The sequence below is a fragment of the Homo sapiens genome, chromosome 1 (assembly GCF_000001405.40).
Source record: "Homo sapiens chromosome 1, GRCh38.p14 Primary Assembly".
Classification (NCBI taxonomy): Eukaryota; Metazoa; Chordata; class Mammalia; order Primates; family Hominidae; genus Homo; species Homo sapiens.
In genome coordinates, this window is record NC_000001.11 from 248,849,565 (window position 1) to 248,867,849 (window position 18,285).

At 51.5% G+C, this 18,285-nt stretch overlaps 1 protein-coding gene and 1 long non-coding RNA gene across 21 annotated transcripts, besides 7 other annotated features; one reads left to right on the forward strand and one right to left on the reverse strand.

Annotated features, from left to right (window-relative positions):
* Positions 1-443: 443 nt before the first annotated feature.
* On the reverse strand, positions 444-9,521 carry ZNF692 (zinc finger protein 692). 20 transcript variants are annotated; one of them, XM_017001698.2, is made up of 12 exons: positions 9,451-9,521; positions 8,567-8,757; positions 8,264-8,295; positions 7,670-7,933; positions 6,950-6,998; positions 6,724-6,858; positions 6,161-6,379; positions 5,994-6,071; positions 5,816-5,894; positions 4,373-4,487; positions 1,118-1,217; positions 444-952 (listed from the first exon to the last, which is right to left on the reverse strand). In XM_017001698.2, the coding sequence occupies exons 2-12, from the start codon at positions 8,743-8,745 to the stop codon at positions 646-648; spliced, it is 1,557 nt and encodes a 518-aa protein (XP_016857187.1). In that variant the 5' UTR covers positions 8,746-8,757; positions 9,451-9,521; the 3' UTR covers positions 444-645. The 20 variants fall into 20 exon arrangements, with proteins under 20 accessions (XP_016857187.1, XP_011542524.1, XP_011542523.2 ...); XM_011544222.2 differs by having other exon boundaries at positions 6,161-6,382; XM_011544221.3 differs by having other exon boundaries at positions 7,670-7,872; positions 9,354-9,521.
* Positions 3,006-3,105: an enhancer, noted in NCBI's record as "active region_2882". NCBI's record gives its function as "activates an Ori minimal core promoter by ATAC-STARR-seq in GM12878 lymphoblastoid cells {active_cell/tissue: GM12878}" and the evidence as "EXISTENCE:reporter gene assay evidence [ECO:0000049][PMID:35858748]".
* Positions 8,326-8,405: an enhancer, noted in NCBI's record as "active region_2883". NCBI's record gives its function as "activates an Ori minimal core promoter by ATAC-STARR-seq in GM12878 lymphoblastoid cells {active_cell/tissue: GM12878}" and the evidence as "EXISTENCE:reporter gene assay evidence [ECO:0000049][PMID:35858748]".
* Positions 9,006-9,055: an enhancer, noted in NCBI's record as "active region_2884". NCBI's record gives its function as "activates an Ori minimal core promoter by ATAC-STARR-seq in GM12878 lymphoblastoid cells {active_cell/tissue: GM12878}" and the evidence as "EXISTENCE:reporter gene assay evidence [ECO:0000049][PMID:35858748]".
* Positions 9,216-9,715: a silencer, noted in NCBI's record as "silent region_2051". NCBI's record gives its function as "represses an Ori minimal core promoter by ATAC-STARR-seq in GM12878 lymphoblastoid cells {active_cell/tissue: GM12878}" and the evidence as "EXISTENCE:reporter gene assay evidence [ECO:0000049][PMID:35858748]".
* Positions 9,600-15,232, forward strand: ZNF692-DT (ZNF692 divergent transcript). Its single transcript, NR_186117.1, has 3 exons — positions 9,600-9,682; positions 13,065-13,223; positions 15,013-15,232. It is a non-coding gene; the product is annotated as a ZNF692 divergent transcript (long non-coding RNA).
* Positions 9,856-10,005: an enhancer, noted in NCBI's record as "active region_2885". NCBI's record gives its function as "activates an Ori minimal core promoter by ATAC-STARR-seq in GM12878 lymphoblastoid cells {active_cell/tissue: GM12878}" and the evidence as "EXISTENCE:reporter gene assay evidence [ECO:0000049][PMID:35858748]".
* Positions 13,337-13,596: an enhancer, noted in NCBI's record as "active region_2886". NCBI's record gives its function as "activates an Ori minimal core promoter by ATAC-STARR-seq in GM12878 lymphoblastoid cells {active_cell/tissue: GM12878}" and the evidence as "EXISTENCE:reporter gene assay evidence [ECO:0000049][PMID:35858748]".
* Positions 14,067-14,206: an enhancer, noted in NCBI's record as "active region_2887". NCBI's record gives its function as "activates an Ori minimal core promoter by ATAC-STARR-seq in GM12878 lymphoblastoid cells {active_cell/tissue: GM12878}" and the evidence as "EXISTENCE:reporter gene assay evidence [ECO:0000049][PMID:35858748]".
* Positions 15,233-18,285: the final 3,053 nt, after the last annotated feature.

Below are 18,285 nucleotides of genomic sequence, written 5' to 3' on the forward strand. Positions count from 1 at the left end.
GAAGTGATCTAAGAACAGGTCCATTCAGTTCCAAGGTCTCTTGTACCTTCCCAGGGCAGCTCAGTGATCTTGCATGGAGGACCACTTGATTCCACACTAAAAGGTAAGACTTCAAGGCCTACATATTGGGTTTTCTCTGTTAATGGCAAGTACAAGATGGCTCAGGATCATATGCCTCTATTTCTGCTCCAGCCAGTCGGCCAGGAGTGACCCGGCAGTCTCCAGATTATCCCCGCCTGCTCTATTTGAGTGTAAGGGTGTGTGTCTTACTCCACAGGAAAGGGCTGCAAACTGTCAAAGTGAGTCTGGAAAGGGTCAGAGGTGAGGGCCTGCAGAGAGAGAAACAGGACCTGCACCTAAGCTGCATTCTGGTACATGGTTTCAAAGGGATCCAGGATTTCTGCACCTCAGGTGCCAAAACACTTGCTCTGCCCACACATGCCTGCATAAAATACTGTTTATTTTGTCCTTTAGGAAGACTAAAGTAGTCCAGCTCCCCTACAGCCCAGTCTTGCCCCCACCCTGCACTCTGTCGCCTTAGTTCCTGGGGACCAAGCATCTGGCATTTCTCAAGCAGACCCTCTCCTTGTTGCTCCTTTTCAGTCCCTGGAGTCTGGCTTCCCAAAGCCAAAGCTGGAGGAGAGCTCATTGCTGAGGAAGCAGGGTTGGAGCCTGAGGAGATGCAGAGGGCCTGGACCCCTCGCTGGATCCCAGAGGCCCAGGGGCAGAGATGCTGGGACAGGGCTCTAGGGGACCACTGGGTGACTCTTGAGGGGCTAGAAGCAGGGCTGGGTGACTTTTGCTACGGTGGGCTGCAACACTGTCTGGCTTCTCAAAGCGCTTGCCGCAGAATTCACAGGGGAAGCGCAAGGCAGCCACCGTCTCTGCATGCTTGCGCTGGTGCCAGTTCAGGGAAGCCTTCTGGCGGCAGGTAAACCCGCATATCTCACACCTGGAGTCAGGGACAGAAGAGGGAAGGAACAAGGCCTCAGGCCATCATGACTTCCCTAGGGGGTTCCTCCTGCTCCCCACTGCCTAGGTGTCCTATATGCCTAGCTTCCAGACTCCACCTCCTCCCTTCTAGCCCCTGGCCCTCAGACCCCACCCCAGCACTCACTGCAGGGGTTTTTCTCCAGTGTGGATACGTCTGTGGATGACAAGGTTGCTGCTAGTGCGGAAAGACCGGGCGCAGAACTCACAGATGTAGTCCCGGGTGTCTGCAGGCATATGAGGGACACTCCAGCATCTGCCCCCACCCTGTGGCCCCTCCTTGGCCCACCCCACCCACTGTCCCTCACCAGAGTGCACCGTATTGGAGGTCAGGAGGCTCAGGTTCTAATTAGTTGTTATCCAAATCATGGAGCCCGTCTGGACCTCCCTTACCTGATGGGTCATGACAACCAAGTAAGATACGAACCCAGCTAAAAGACTTCATTATTGTCCACCCCAGCCCCTGCCCGCCAATCCCACTCAAACCAATGAACTCCTGATGGAAGTGCACCACCCCACCTCAGCCTCTAGGCTGGTTCTTTCTCAAAGGAGACACATGGAATGGAGAGCTGGGTCCTTATGTATGAATTGAAGGCAGTGGGCAGCAGCCAAGCAGAACCTTGGAGTCAGCGATGGGAATTAGGATTGAAGCTCAAGGCCCAAGGACAGACCCTGGCACCTGGAATCATCTACCACCTATTTAGGCTTGCATATCCCACCTGTCCCAAACCCTATCGGTGCCCTGTGGAGCTACCTGTCTGCAGGCAGCCAGTCCCCTCTCCTCTTTTTCCCTGAGCCTGCACTCCCTGCTTGTTCCAATAGCACCTGCCTGTTGCCCATGGTCACTGTGTGGCAGCAGCTCTCACAGGCTGCTGTGGTTTCTCTAACCCACCAAACCTCAGGGTGTACAGTAAAAAAGGTGTCTTTGCTTCTCATGGTGCCCTTTAGACCACCTCTAACATCCCCACCTCTCTGAAGACCGCACCATCAGACCACACAAACACACACCTGCAGCCTCCTCCTTTGGCCCCATCACTCCCCCTCCATCCACACAACTCTAGGTTCAGCCCCTCTACTCCTGTCAGCCACTACTCCTGCTGTCAATCAGCACTCCAGCCCTCTGTTCCCTCACCTCACTGACCTCATCGCCCACCCTCCTCAGCCACCAGTCTCAGGTCACACCCATGCACTGCACCACTTCAGAAATTGCTATTTCTTCTAAGATACAGTGGGTTAGGAGGAGAAAAAAAAGAAATTGTGATTTCAAACATCCTGGTTCATGCCAGGGCCTCCAATCTTGTCCTCTTGCTATGATAATCCCATGATTCCAGGCCAGTCCACTGGCCCCACCATCTTCCCTCTGAGCCCCTTCCCCGCTCAGCTACATTTCCACAGCCATCTTTGTTGCCTTCTTTCATTCACACTACCAATCTTCCTGTCCCTCTCTCCGTCAACTGTACTTGCTTGGTTAAAGCCCAACTCAGGATAGACACAACTTTTGGTCTGTTCCGGGCCTGCACATGTGTACTGTAAGGGCAAAATCTGCCTCTTGGCCACTCTTTTCATCTAAAACCACAAGTCTTAAGGCCGCCTTCTTGCCCTACTGTGTCTGCATTTCCCTCATCAGTTCACTTTTCCAACTTTCTAGAAATACAGAAGACATTTCACACCACCTCCTTTCTCCACCAGCCTCCAACACCCCCAGCCTACTAGCCTTATTCAGCAGTGCTCTTGTTTCTAAAGTCGCCAAGAAACTACAACACCCACATCTTCTGCCCACCAAATCCACTATTCAACTTGCATCTGTGTCTATATAAACAACTGCTCAAACTGTTCCCCCGGCAGCCCTCCACTGTGCCCCTCAAGACCAACCCCTTCTCACTTGAGGTCCCCCACCCCACTCTAGCATCAGCAGCAAGCCTTTCTCTATGGAATCATTCCCATCTCCATGCCCTGAGCCCACAGCCTTCCAGCTGGGACTCCATTTCTCTGCCTATCTTCACAGCAAAACAGAGTTGTCCATACTTGCTGTCTCCACTCTGCCTTGAATGCACTCCGTTCCGGCTATCCCCACAGCTCCACTGCCCCTCTTGTCAGTTCCATCTTGTCATCTGGTGGCTTCACCACTGCCACATCTGGTCTCCTATTCTCAGCTCACATTTGGCCTGTCGCACTAGCAATCATCCCCCCTTCCTCCCTGGAGCATTTTCTATACTCAGTTCCTCAAATACCACTCTCTTCATCTTCCTCACTACTCACCTGACCTGCCCTCTGATGGCTAGAGTGCCATGACACTCACTTCCTCTATGTAGGGACACTCTGGCCTCATGGCTCTAAACACCACCCATATGCTCATGACCCACACATTTATATTTATATTTTTGCCTGACATCTCCCCTGATCTCCACATTCACATCTCCTGGATGTTTAATTAGCATGTCTCAAATCAAATTTCCCTTCCCAAGCCCATTTCTCCCTTGTTTTCAGAAAAATCACATCACCTTCTGCCCAGTTGCTGAGGCTGGAATCCTCCAAGTTACCCAACTCCTCCCTTCCCACTCGACTGCAGCCAACCCATCCTTCCCACGGCAGCTCGTTTGGCTCCATCTGCACACACACTGGCCTCCATCCATTCCTCACTGACTCAGCTGCTACCAGCAAATCCAGGCACCACCTTGCCCTCTTGCACATCTCTGCAGTCATCTCACAGTTGAGTGCCTGGTTCTGCTCATCTGAGGTCCCCCTGTTCACACAGCAGCCACAATGATCTTTTAAAAAGCCATGTCCCTCTGCCATTCAAGACTCTGCGATGGCACCCATCTCACTTAAAGCAGATGTCAAACTGTCCTGTGGATGGTCTCAGAGGCCTCCATCAACTATGTGACTTCTCTTCCTTTCTCAGCTCCTGGCCTCTTCCCTATTCCTGGAACATGTCACCCAGATACCACCTAAGGGCCCTTCCACACGCGCTGTCCATAGTCTGTAAGGTACAGGTTTCCATTCCTCACTTAAGTCTTTGCTCAAAGCATCTTCTCTTTCTACAATAGCAACTCCTCCTTATGCTCTCCTCCTTTCCCTTGCTTCCACATTTCTTCATAGCCCTGTATCACTAAAGTGGATGTCTCAAGAGGGTTAGCGCTGCCTGCTCTGTTCATTGCTGTACCCAGTACCCAAAACAGTTTAAAACAAGCAGGTGCTCAACACACAGGGCATACAGGATGAGGGAGAGTCATCCCTCGGAGGGAGGTGAAGAAACCCACAGAGCGGGAGGTGACAGGACCCCGTAGAGGGGGAGGTGAAGAAACCCACAGAGCCCAGGGTGACGGGACCCACAAAGGAAGGTAAAAGGTCCCACAGAGGAAGGTGGAGTTCCACCACTCACCACTGTGCAGCTTCATGTGCTCCTTCAGGTGTTTCTTAAAGTTGAAAGACTTCCCACAGGCTGGCTCTGGGCAGGAGAAAGACTTCTGGTGGATGTGCTGGTACTTTTTGTGGTGCTAGAGAAGGAAGTGGGTGGTAGGGAGAGAAGAGGCAAAAGGATAGCCACCTTCCACGGAGAGATGAACTGAGCTGACCCGGCAGGCATGCTCCTCTGTCCCCTTCCTGGCCCCTGTGCCCCAGCAGTTCTCCCTGTCATGGCCTGCTCGTTTCCTTGAGGCTCAGTCCTCACCTACACCATGAGTACCACACCCATCCCATCCTGACCACTCAACTCTCCTGTCACCCAATTCTGTGCTTTACTTCCATTATCTCACCTCCTTGTCACACTCTCACCCTGCAATGTCCTGCAATGTTCCCTGTACAAAGTATCACTCTGGGTGACACCCCTGGTTCACCTAATCATGAATGCACTATCTGCTGCAGAGGGGAAAGCAGTTTGGGTAAGTATGATCATCCTACTTGATGTCAGTATTCACGTACAACAGTATCTCCCCAACTGCTTGCTTTTTAATAGTTCACCATGGGTATATATATGATTTTCTTCTAAATCTGCTTTGGAAACACACACACACACACTCTCAACCTAGAACACTATTAAGGGTAACAGGCTCTTCAACCTTAACTCCTAAATATCAAAGTATTTCTCTTTTCACTGACCTAAGTTGGCATCCTGGCTCACTAAATTGCATGGGCTGTCCCCTTCTTTAGAATCCCATTTTTCCACAGTTAAACTTCCAGGGGCTGCTTTGATCTTCTCCACAGCAGACTCCAGAATGTCTGACATGCCCTGCCGAATGCTCTTCTCAGCCTAGAGCTTCCCTGTCATCCCGGGTCATTTTCCCTTTTCACTTGATTCCTCTCTGTCATCTTCTGTGGGCGGCATTCTCCCCTGTCTGTCTACCCTCACCTCACCATCCCAGTGTCTGTGGCCCTCCCCAGCCTTGGTACCTGCTGTGCCAAGTGCTCTGGTTGACTGTAGGGATTGGACCCCTTGCCTTCTGTGCCTCAAATTTCTCAGGCAATGAGATTGGGGACAGGACCATCTCCCAGCCCGTTTCACTCTAGAACTACCCTCTCAAGCCAGGATATGTGGCAGCCCAGGCATGGACTCTGAAGCCAGGCCACCAGGCTCAGAACCCTAGCACTAACACACACTAGCTGAAGAGCCTTGAGCAATGCCTAACCTTTCTGTCTGCAAAGTGGGAATAATAGCAGCACCTAATCTATGGGGATATTGTGAGGACCAAAAGACTTTATACATGTCAGGTACCCTCTGCTTCCTGGTTCTGAATCCTCCCATGCCTTAAGATCCTTTTCCTCAGTTTTTCTTTTAGCCCTTTCCCCCACCCCAGCAGCCACACAGGCCCCAACCTGTGCCCCTCACATTCAAATACTGCCGGTTGGAGAAGATCCTTCCACAGCCAGGGAAGTCACAAGGCATCAGCTCTCTTTTGGCAGCTTTCCTGAGGAGAAGAATGGAAAGGAGCAGCATGACTCCTGCCTGCCCTTCTCTGCCTCCCTCCTCTCGGCCCTCCCCAGAACCCCATCTCCCTAAGTCCTACCTAATTCTCTTGGGGCCAATTTGTGCAGTGTCCTCATCCCAGGCCGGGGTTGGAGCAGACTGGGCCTGACTCCCAGTGCTACGGGCAGCAAAGAGGGAGCAGAGGGCCTCGAGGGAGGGCCACATCCCAGGACGCCCCTGCCCTTTCTGTCTCAGCCATCAGGTTACCTGGCCAGGGCCTCAGTCTGCTGGGCCGCTTGAGGGGTCCTGCTGAGCTGTGGCTGCACCCTGACTTCTGCAGGTGGAGGAGCTCTGGAACTCAATGAGGATGCTGACAAGGCCGGCACAGCAAGAGGACTGGAGAGTGCTGCAGGGGCTGGTGGTGTCTCCCCCTCTTTAGGTGTGCAGGTGACAGGGGAAGGCAGTAGTCTGGGGGCATCAGGCTCACTACTGAAAGGAGAACAAAGAGGAAGATGGCATTAACTTTCTGGGCAGTCAGCCATCCCCTGCCCGACCCTAGCCCCTAAACTGAAAAGATCTCAAACTTGAAACAACCCTACCCCCACCCTAGGCTCCCCATTCATATCTGCTTTCAGCCCTCAATCTCCCTGCACCTGACTTCACCCCTTTTCACCCCCTCAGTTCAAAGCCTCTAGTTCTTTTTGCCTTCCCCAAAACCCACCCTTCCCTCCACACTAACAAGCCCTTCCCTCTAGTCTGCAAAGCCATGAACTGCCAGGCCAGCTGCCTCCCTCTCTTGCTCTGCTCATTCTCCCTCAACCCCAACTTGCTCATCTGGGGAGGAGCTGTAGGTCCATAAGCTGGCATCACTGAGCATCTCCTCTTCATCCTCATCATTGTCCTCTTCTTCCTCACCCTCTTCCTCTCCTGGAGGTGGGAAGGTCTCTGGTGGGGGTCCCACCCTCCTGCAGGCCCAAAGAAGGCAAGCCTGAGGTCCTGCTCCCTCATCCTCCCACCTATGCAATTCCGCCTTTTCTCTCCTATCCACATCCTCACCTGGGCAACCTGGCCTCTTGAGTCCTCTCATCATGCTCAGATTCCAAATCTGTGGGACAGGCAAAGTCAAAAGAGAAGGAACTCTGGACTCAAGGGATGAGGACACATAAAGTTCTAAGGTCTGAAGTGATGGGAGACTCCTCTTTTTTTTTTAAATAGAGACGGGGTCTCACTATGTTGCCCAGGCTGGTCTCAAACCCCTGGGCTCAAGCAATCCTCTTGCCTCAGCCTCCCAGAGTGCTAGGATTATAGGTGTGAACCACTGCACCCAGGCAGAGACTTTTAAGAAGGAGGAGGAGGGAGCAGAGGCTATCTGAGTAGGAGGAGTTGTTCTGTTTCAGAGATGATATTCACATAGTTCACAAAACTATACAGTCAAAAATCTCCTTTCCAATACTGTCCCCCATCGCCTACTTCTTCCCATAGGCAACCTGGTTTTCTATGTGCCTTCCAGAGATATGTCATACATTCGCAAGTACTTACACATACACACACACACATTCACTTTCCCCTTATTTGTATTTTTCACCAATGATAGCATACCATACACTGTATTTTGTTTTGCTTTTCATGCCCAACAGTGTATTTGATGATATATTTGTCAAGATAGAGTTTTTCCATTGAAAAAGGATCATTTTTAGAGAACAGGGTTCTGAGCTACAGAAAATGGGAAACGTTTTTCCTCCCTTTTCTCCATAACTCTGCTTTTTTCCAGCCTACCTGCAAGCTCCTGCCCACTCGTGGCCTCGGAACACCAACTTCTCCGAGTAGTATGTGGAAGGGAGGCTGGCTTGGGTGCCTCTGAAGGTGTAGGGCTCAAAGAGGGTCCCCAGGAGAAGGTATGGCCTGCTGAGCACTCCCACACAAGCCCCCCATCTTGGCCGCCAGGCCCCCGAAGCCCGGGCACCAGGCTGCACTCTCGGCTGTGGGCATGAGACAAGAGCACCAGATACTGCAGACCTTTTGGAGGCAAAGGCTCAGGACCTGGAGGGGTGGGGGAAGCAGTCAGGCTGAACTGGGAAGTCTCCTCCTCTTACCCTGGAGAGCCATACCCAGGGAGCCCTGTTCCCTCAAACCCCAGGGCAACCTCAGCCCCAGTCCAATTTATCATTCTTCAGAACCTAGACACACTAGATCCTGAGACATTGCTCCCTTCCCCACCCAGAGGTTGCCTCCATCAAACTACCCTGTGCTCCCCAACTCACCCCACCCTTCCCAAACTTACTCAGGGCTCCCTTTGAAAGGAGGGTGTTTCTGGGTCACCCTGTGGTCCCTCTTCCCTCTGGCTCTCACCCCCTGCCATCCCCTACCTACCTGCACAGAGGACACAGCCTGAAGAAGTGTACCTGCCAGCAGGAGAAGAGGCAGGTCAGGACTCAGGTGGCCAGCCACCCTCAGCCCTGGGCACTCACACATGTAAGGGGCCAGCCCTAAGGGCCGCTATTCGCTGAGACCATGAGGAGGGGAGCAGGACCCTCGGAGGCCACAAGTCACACAGGCCGTCCTGGTAAAGTGAGAAACCTGAGGGTGGAAAAGAGCAGCAGGACAGGCCCTGGAGAGGAGGCTAGGGGCTGCTGCCTGGGTACCCTCCCCCAAGCCCTTCTCCCGGCCCCTAACCGGTCCAACAGGAACTTGGCGAGCTGCGAGTGCAGGGAGAAGCCCAGCCGCTCCTTGAGGAGGCACCACTGCTCCATGTGGCCGCCCAGGCGGATGCGGCACTTGCTGCGGCGCGCGTCCAGCTGCCGCCGCTTCTCCCGCCGCCTGCAGGACACGTCCACCGCCGGGGAGGAAGCCATGTGCACCAGAGGCTGGAGGGTGGAAGGGACGTCTTCAGCGCCCTGCCGATCTCGGGGGTCGGGGACCCGGCTCCACCTGCCGTTAGGGCCTCAGTTTCCTCATCAGTGAACTGGGGCAAGACTAAACTATTTCAATAGCAGTGGCAGGTGTGGAGCCAAACCCCGTCCTTCTATGATACAGGGTGTTGAAGCTCAGCGCTACCATGTGAGTGTCGTCGGGTGGGAGGCAGGCAGACAGAAGCAGTCAGAACAAAGGCCTGCGCCCTCCAGTCCACTGAAGTGGAGCTGTGGGGAAGGGGCGAGAGACTTTCACGGGAAATTTCAACTGGGCTGGGGGCGGTCCACACATTTCATCTTGAATAGGGCAGCGGCCTTTACTGGTTTCTAGGGGAAGGAAAGGTCGTGTCCTGGCGTGCAGCTGGGGGCGCTCTTCATAGTTGGGTCGAGTGGCGGTGAGGCCGTGGTCAGAGGTCTGGAGGGCGCCCCCCATCCACCCCGTCTTGGGCACCCCCACTTAATGCTGACAGTGAGTGGAGCGGACTAATCCCAATGGCAGTTCCCAGGCTGCCCAGAGCCCCCGTCGCGACCCACCCCCACCCCGGCCTTACCTGTGCGCCCCCACGCGCCCTCACCCCCACTGCGCCTGCGCCTGCGCCTCCCGGGCCTAGCGAGCAGGCCCGGAGCTGCTGGAAGACAGGGGCCCACCTCGCGCGCGCAGCGTTTCTCTTTTAAGAAGAAACGGTGCCTCTCGGCGTCGGCTGCTGTAGCCCGGAACTGAGGCCCGCGCCCCAGAGGGAGGGGCGAGTCGGAGGCCGACGCCGTGCGCCTGCGCACTGGGTGCCCCGCGCAACGCCCGCCGGGAATCGTGGTTGCCCGACTCAAGTCGCCCGCGCGTGTCGCGGAGCCCCGCGGCAGTTGTGGTTGGGTGGCTTCTGTGGTGAGCGTCTGCGCTTGGTGACCAAAGGTTTGAGGGAAAGTGGAAGAGACAGGGTCAGGCCTCCTGTGCTCCAACCCCAGCCCACCCGGCCTGTATGGGGACGTTGCCTCTTCACTTGTTCCCGTTTTGTATTCACCTTCGATTTCCCCCTCACAGTTGCCACCCGCAAACATGATGCAGAATCAGTCACTTTGAAAGACCCACAGAGGGTCCAGCTAGAGCCCTCTGTGGACCGCAGAGTCCCACCAGCTACAGCCCACTTCTATTACCATCAGAATTCCTCCTAAAAGTTGCCTGCATTCTCTGTGTACGCTCACTTCCCATCCTCTTCTCTTCAAATGGCTCTGATGGAGCTTTCCTCCCCACCCAGCCACTGCAGTGGCGCTTCACAAGGTCACTTGAGACGGTCATATTGCTACATAGCAGCTGTCAGTTCCGTCCGCCTCTCTGCCCTAGAAAGAGCGCGACTATGTAGCTCTCGTCCTCCTCATCTTTATGGCTCCCTCTACATTTTGGGCCCCAGTTTTACTTCTGTGACTTCATATGCTCCAGGTTTTCCACCCTCCTCACTGGCTCCTTCTATCCTTTTTTTGGATCCATTCCCTCTGTTCTGCCAAAAGATGAAGTGTGCCCTGGCTCAGGCCTTGAACCAGATCTTCTCTCGTCTGCATATGTTCTCCTGGGTGATCTAATTAGTTCCATGGCTTTAAATACACTGATGGCTCCTAGCCTAGCCCTCTTTCAACTCCAGTCATATATCTTACTGCCCGCTTGACTTACATGTGTTAACTGAGCTAACACGTGTAAAGAATGTAGGACAGTGCCTGGCATGTAGAGAGCGCTGACACATGATAGCTGATATTTTCTCCAACATAAATATGGCAAACATATAACAATAACGCCTGTACCCTCCCCCATGCCAGTAAACTATGTCATCATCCACCCACTTGTTCAGAAAAAAGGGAATCAGCCTTGATTCTTTGCCTTTTATGATACCTAAACCATATACATCAGCAAATCTTGTTGGTCCTGTCTCCAAAAATTTATCTTAAATCCAATCACTTCTGACCCTCTCAACTGCTAAAACCCTACTCCAAGCCACTGGTATTAATTTTCTGTAATTGTTGTAACAAATTGTGTTGTGTGTTGTTTTCAGCCACAAACTTGCTCCCTTTACTCAAATTTATTTTCTCACAGTTCTGGAGGCCAAGGCATCAGCAGGGCCACAGGCCATTGTAAGGGCTCTAGGGGAGAATCCTTTCCTTGCTTCTTCTAGCTTCTAATGGTGGCCAGCATTCTCTGACTTGTGGCCACGTCACTCCAATCTCTGTCTCTGAGGTCACATTGCCTCCTTCTGTGTCAAATCTCCCTCTGCTTCTCTCTTACAAGGATGCTTGTGAATGCATTTAGAGTCCATCCTTATAATCCAAATAATCTCTCCATCTCAGTATCCTAAGACAATTTCTTCTGTAAAGTATTTGCCATATAAAGTAATCGGCTGCACACGGTGGCTCACGCCTGTAATCCCAGCACTTTGGGAGGCCAAGGCGGGTGGATCACTTGAGGTCAGGAGTTTGAGATGTGCCTGCCCAACATGGTGAAACCCTGTCTCTACTAAAAATACAAAAAAAATTAGCTGGGCATGGTGGCATGGGCCTATAATCCCAGCTACTCGGGAGGCTGAGGCAGAAGAATTGCTTGAACCCAGGAGGAGGAGGTTGCAGTGAACCGAAATTGCACCACTGCACACCAGCCCGAGTGACAGAGCAAGACTCCATCTAAAATAAAATAAAGTAATCTCCACAAGTTTTGGGGATTAGGACACAGATATCTTTTCTGGGACTATTTTTAAGCCTACCATACCACTATCATCTCTCACCTGGTCTGTGGCTACATCTTCCTAATGGATCTGCCTCCTACTTTAACTTGTACTCTCACAAAGCAGGGAAAATTTCCTCAAAGATCAAATCTTTTGCTTAAAATCTGTGAGTGGTGCAATCCAAAATCCTTATCATGGCCTCAAGGACCTACTTAATTGGGCCCTTGGCTTCTTCTCTGGCATCATCCCCCAACTTTTCCCACTTTGTCCTCCCACCTTTTTGCTATTTCTCAAGTGTGCCAAGTATCCTAGAGGGAGTTCTTTTGTCTCTGGAGCACTCAATTCTCCCCTCAGCCCCCACCCCATCCCCCAGCCCACCACCCAGCTGTTCATCTGTTTGCTCCCTTCTCATCTTGTAAATCTCGGCTATAAGATCACCCACTCAGCTATAAAATCCCTCATTCAGAAAGCTCCCTTTCCTCAGTCATGCTCTACCTCACTGTGCCCTATTGTATCTTCTTCATGGCACTTACTTTCTGAAATCATCTCAGGGACTTGTTTGTGTGTTTGTTATTGGTATACGATGATTGTTGACTAGCCCAGCCTTCTCCTCTGCAGCCTAAATATCTCAAATGACATGGTGTGCAAACATGAACACCCTTAGGATGAGCCCAGTGTGTCCTGTGCATATTCCTTTTGATTTGTGGTATCAGTGACTCAACATACTTGTCTGACTAGTGTAAGGTAGGAAGGAAGATGTCCCAGCTACTTTACTCATTAATGAATGTGTAACTTTTCCAGCTACTTTACTCATTAATGAAAGTGTAACTTTCACATCAAAAGAGCAGGACTCCATCGAGAACAAACTTTATCCTTTCCTCATGGTCCCTTAATAGATATCTGCAAAATCCTTGTGGTTTCATCCAAGGGAATGAAAGGTCTTGTAATTCTTGGTTACTCTTAGAATGTTGGGTCTCACTTTGAGACCCAAGAACATTTTTGGTTCTCTTGGTTTGATCTTGTTTAAAATAATAAAATGAAATTACTGCCAATGCCCAGCTCTTCAATAACCGTCTCCAAATAAATCTCTCAGCCTCTCTTTAATTTCTTATATCATCTAGGTAAGGAATGAGCCAACTCTCTCAAAAACAGTCACCAGCCCCTTCCTTTGTAAGTGCTGCAAGGGAGTGCTAACATTTTAAGGAGGGGTTCTCTGTAAACATTGGTTCTCTGCCTTTAGTGACCTCATTGCAGTCTGAGACCTTGAATTCCATCTTAGCATCCCATTACAAAGGCTAAGATTAAATGTGAGCTATTTGTATTTTTGTCACTGTTGAGCTTTACAGTTTACAGACTGCTGAAACTGCCAATTCTTTTATACACATAAAAGGGTCCATGTGGAGGACATATTTATCTTCATAACATTTATTTTTCCTGGACTATGCATGGCACCATAGCGCTCTTCTTATCTCCTGCTTTGGCACAGCCAAATCTAATATTGCTGTACCCTCTGAACTTTTAGTATCTTCTCTCCAAAGAGAAAAACTACTTTCCACTCTCCAGATCCAAGGAGGAATGAGCCAAATTGCTACAGAAGTTGAGTCAACCCACTGCCCTCAAATCCTGAGATGTATTCCCAGTGGGAAAAGGAACACTCCTTCAGGACTTTGTACCCCAAATTCCACGAGACCCACAGACACCCTCAGCCCAGCCCAGCTCCAGGTATTTGCATGAACCTCCCTCTTTCTCAGCCCTCATCCTCTCAGTGACTGGTGTCTTCATCCTCCAACTAGTCATCATTGCTGGGAGTGCAATTCCGTTTCCCCTGAGCCCCTGACAACTGAAGGGTGGTGCCTCTACCCTGAGTCTGATCATGCCCTAGTGCGGCTGACCTGGGCGCTCTGTGATGCCATGTGGCCCAGGTAGGGTGGGGTGGTATACAAGAGATGCGGTTGCCCTTGCTCCTGGCTGGCCCAGCTGCCTGGGTTGGTCCTGTTAGCTTTGGCTCCGGGCCGGAGGGCAGACGACATGAAGGAGGAGGAAGCCAGCCGCCAAGAGACTCGCCGTGGTAAATTCAGCGTCTGCAGGGGTGCTTGACGCGGCGGAGCCCGCGACGCCGGCAGCGGAGCGACATGTTGCTCCTGGTGCTGAAGCAGCAGCTGCCCACCCTCGCTGTGGTTGTGCTGATGGCAGCAGCAGCCCGTCTAGGGTGGCCACTGCCGTGATGCTGGCTGCAGCGCTCCATGAAGCGAGTGGAGCCAGGAACAGGCAGAAGCCCCGCCCCCTCCTGAGTTGATAGGGTGGGACCTTCGCGCTCACGGGTGCAGCCTCTGCCGCCCGGCTGTGGCTGCCGACCAAGGCCTCCCTGTGCTCTTGGGGGCCAGGAGCAGCCAGGAGCCCGCCCTCCCAGGCACAGCTACTGCGGCTCAAGCTGTGGCTGCAGACCCAGGCATCTCTTCACTCTCCAGGGGCTGGGAAGGACCCCGCTGCCCGCGGAGGCTCAGAAATGCCTGGTTCTGCTGCCTGGTCTCTCCCCGCTCCTGGTGCCTGCTCCACGGGCTCTGAAATGTCTGCTCCCAGTGCCTGGCTGCTCCCTGCTCCCAGTGCCCACTCTCATCTCAGAGCAAAGTTGAGGCCAAGGCCGGCGCTACTGCAACCCGGCCGGGTGTGCGCACACTCGGGCAGCGCTGACATGCCAGCCCCCTGCTGCCTCGGCCCCCTCTGGACTTTGGGCGCCAATGAGCACAGGAGGGAGGCCGAGGTGAGGGCTGAGGGCAGACCAGCACTGACCTGCAGGTGCCCCTCAGCATGAACAGCCTGGGTGCTATAATGTTGTTCCTTCTGTTTTACTTCTAACTGCCCCTTCCTCCTGCTCGCCTCTGACTCTCTCATTGCATAATTTTGCCCCCTCTTTCTCTCCTTCATCTTCTCCCCTTTTCCTTGCCTCATCTCATTTCCTCCTTCTGTACCTAAAAAGTTTGGCATTTGGGCTAAAAAATGAAACAACCATTTCTCTTCAGCCATCTTCCAGCATTAAGCTTCTAATACAGAAGAGTTGGTGAGCCACCAACAATTTGAAGACATTTCTTCTAGTTCTATTCCTGTTGCATTCCCCTCCTGTTTAGTCCACTCACCAGACTATTTTTGAGTTGTGCCCTAGCTCTCTCTCCATGCTTCCACCCACCAGGACCTGGTAGATCTTACCCTCCTCACACTGCTCATTCAGCTGGTTAGAAATGAAGCCTCCCACCAGTCAGAACTGGGAAACATGGTGGGAACTAAAGAATTCTCTGTCTCCCCTTTCCTCATTGTTAGTCTTCAGTTCACTCTCTCCAGGAGCACCTAAAACAGCTTGTGACTAAACATCCCATTTGGAGCCCTGAGCAGAGACTGTGATCCACTAGATTAGGGCCTTGGGCTTCAAGCCTATACTTATTTCTAGCCTTTGGCCTATATTTAGACTTTCTGGGTACTCATGCAGAGGCTAACCACACCATGCTTTTTCCCCTAGGACAGACCATAATGAAAGATGCTTTACCTTGAAAACTAAATGGACAGGACTTGATCACAAAGCATCACCTCTCCCCTGGACTCCAGAGGATCGTTCCTAACTGCTTACTTGACACATCTATTAGGTATCTCAAACTGGAAGGTCTAAAACTGAACTCTCCCTCCTCCATAATCTGCCTCCCCTTAGCCTTCCCTTTGTCAGTAAATGATGAGTTTTTTCCTTCTATTGCTCAGGTCAAAAAATCCTTTTTGTGGCTCATTTACTTCTTGCACATCAACAAATCCTATTAACTCTACCTGCAAAATATACCCAGAATTCAAATCTTGCTTGCCACGCGGCCTGTTGCCATCCAGTCCACCAACGTGGCTTGCAGCACCTCTCAACTGTTCTCTCTGCCTTACTCTTGTGTTCTATATTCTACCCTCCACACGCAGCCAGAGGATCCTTTTTGTTTTTCTTTCTTGAGACAGTATCTTGTTCCATCACTGAGGCTGGAATGCAGTGGCACGATCACAGCTCACTGCATCCTTGAAGTCCTAGCTCAAGCAATCCTCCCATCTCAACCCCCAAGTAGCTAAGACGACAGGTGCATGCCAACATGCCCAGCAAATTCTTTAAATCTTTTGTAGAGATGGTCTCCCACTATGTTGTCCAGGCTGGTCTCAAACTCCTGGCACAAGTGATCCTCCCTCCTTGAGCTCCCAAAGATTTGGGATTACAGGCATGAGTTGGGATTACAGGCATGAGCCACCATAACCAGCCAAGGGGATCCTTGAAAAGCAGGAAAGATCTTATCACACAGCTCAAAACCTTCCTTTTCACTCACTGTCAATCCAAAGGCTAGCACCAGGTCCTCTCACTCAGTTTCAACCATACTGTCTGTTTTGCATTTCTTGTTGGCCTTTTCTTCTGCTCTTCTCTTTCCCTGGAGCCCTCTTCCCTCAGATATTTTATCTAGTCACTCCTTGACTCTCTTGAAATTTCTGCTCAAATGCCACATACTGAGAGACCTTCTGAACCACTTGCATCTCTCCCTAACCTCTTTCTATGCGTTATTTTTCTCAACAGTATGTATCACTACCCATCCCCACCAAATAATTATTTTATTTAGTCTAGGTGTTTCTGCTGGAATGTGAGCATCTTGAGGACAGATAATTTGTTTTATTCTCTGCAGCATCCCTGGTCCATGGGGCTCAGCTAGAGCAAGGGACTTTTCTGGGCAAGGCAAAAAGAACAAAGACAGATCAAGCACCTTTAGGAAAAGGTACCAAGCTTGCTGGGGCATATGGGAGACAGGGAGGTGAGGTCAGGCTGGCCAGAAGGGTCTGAAGGCCAAATAGGCCACCAGAAGCATTAGGATATGAGGGTAATGGAAAACAACCCTCCTCCATTGTTCACTTTCTCCCGTCAGACAGGACTCCAAAGTGATAAAAAATTGTCCACCTTAGGGATAGAACAAGATGACAGAAAAGGATTCTCCATTTCTTTCTTTTCTTTTTATTTTATTTATTTATTTATTTATTTATTTTTGAGACAGAGTCTTGCTCTGTCACCCAGGCTTGAGTACAATGGTGCGATCTTGGCTCACTGCAACCTCCACCTCCCGGGTTCAAGTAATTCTTCTGACTCAGCCTCCCAAGTAGCTGGGACTATAGGCACCTGCCACCACGCCCAGCTAATTTTTTGTATTTTTAATAGAGGTAGTGTTTCACCATGTTGGCCAGGCTGGTCTCAAACTCCCAACCTCAGGTGATTCCTCCTGCCTCAGCCTCCCAAAGTGCTGGGATTACAGTCATGAGCCACCGTGAAAAATATTTTCATTTGTGAATAGTAGTTCAAATTGATGTATCTAAAGGGGGATAGGAAATGGAGAATCCTGGTCCAGACACGGTGGCTCACGCCTGTAATACCAGCACTTTGGGAGGCTAAGGCAGGAAGAATCACCTGAGGTCGGGAGTTTGAGACCAGCCTGATCAACATGGAGAAACCCCGTCTCTACTAAAAATACAAAATTAGGCAGTGTGGGTGGCACGTGTCTGTAATCCCAGCTACACGGGAGGCTGAGGCAGGAGAATCGCTTGAACCCAGGAGGCGGAGGTTGCAGTGAGCCGAGATTGCACCATTGTACTCCCGCCTGGGCAACAAGAGCGAAATTCTGCCTCAAAAAAAAAAAAAAAGAAGTAAGGAAACCAGATGAGAGACCACAGCACCTGGGTATAGCAAAGAAATAAGAAGAGCGGCATTGGCTGCGCTTGGTGGCTCATGCCTGTAATCTGAGCACTTCAGAAGGCTGAGGCAGGTGGATTGGTTGAGTTCAGGAGACCCCATGTCTACAAAAAATATACAAAAATTATCTAGGTGTGGTGGTGTGCACCTGTAGTTCCAGCTACTCAAAAGGCTGAAGTGGGAGGATGGCTTGAGCCTGGGAGGGCAGAGGTTGTGGTGAGTCAAGATGCCAGGATTGCACCACTGTATTCCAGCCTGGGTGAAAGAGCCAGACACTGGCAAAAAAAAAAAAAAAAAAAAAAAAAAAAAAAAAAAAAAAAAAAAAAAAAAAAAACACCCAAAAAGGAAGAGGGGCATCGAAGATGGTAGGAAGGACAGTTTTACATTTGCCTACATCACCCTTTCTTCAACCTCAAGCAGCACAGCAGAGAGAGATACTTTCCACTTGGAGAAAGAAGAGAGAAGTGAGCACTGGACTTTGCCTTGGACCCTAACACTGGGCCCACCCCAGTCAAACCCAGCACCAGGAAGGCCCCAATATCCCCAGACACTAAGCCAGTACATGAGGTCTAAGCCTTCAAGCGTCCCTGGCCCCAGGCTGGATCCTGCATCCCCAGGTTCCAGAGCAGGGACTCAGTCTCTGGCCTCTGAGCCTACTCCAGCACCAGGCCAGCACCAGTGGCACAGGCCTTCAAGCTTACCCAAGCACTAGGTCAGGCCCTACAGACTCAGTCTCCAGACACACCCCAGGGTTAGGCTGACCCTGGTAGCCCAAGATCCTAGGCCTGCCTCTGCAGCTCCAGGCTTCAGGCCCACCCCAGGGCCAAGTTAGCACGTCTAGCCTCAGGCACCAGGTCAACACCCTTAGACCTTAAAGACCTAGTCTCCAAAATAGCACATACACACACCCTTAGCCTTCAGGCCAACCCCTGTAGACCTAGGCTTCAGGCCAGCCCTCGAGGATCCAGGTACCTGGTAAGTACGTATAATCCCAGGCTCCAGTGGACTCGGGGTCCAGGCCACCCCAGCAGACCCTGGAGCCAGGCC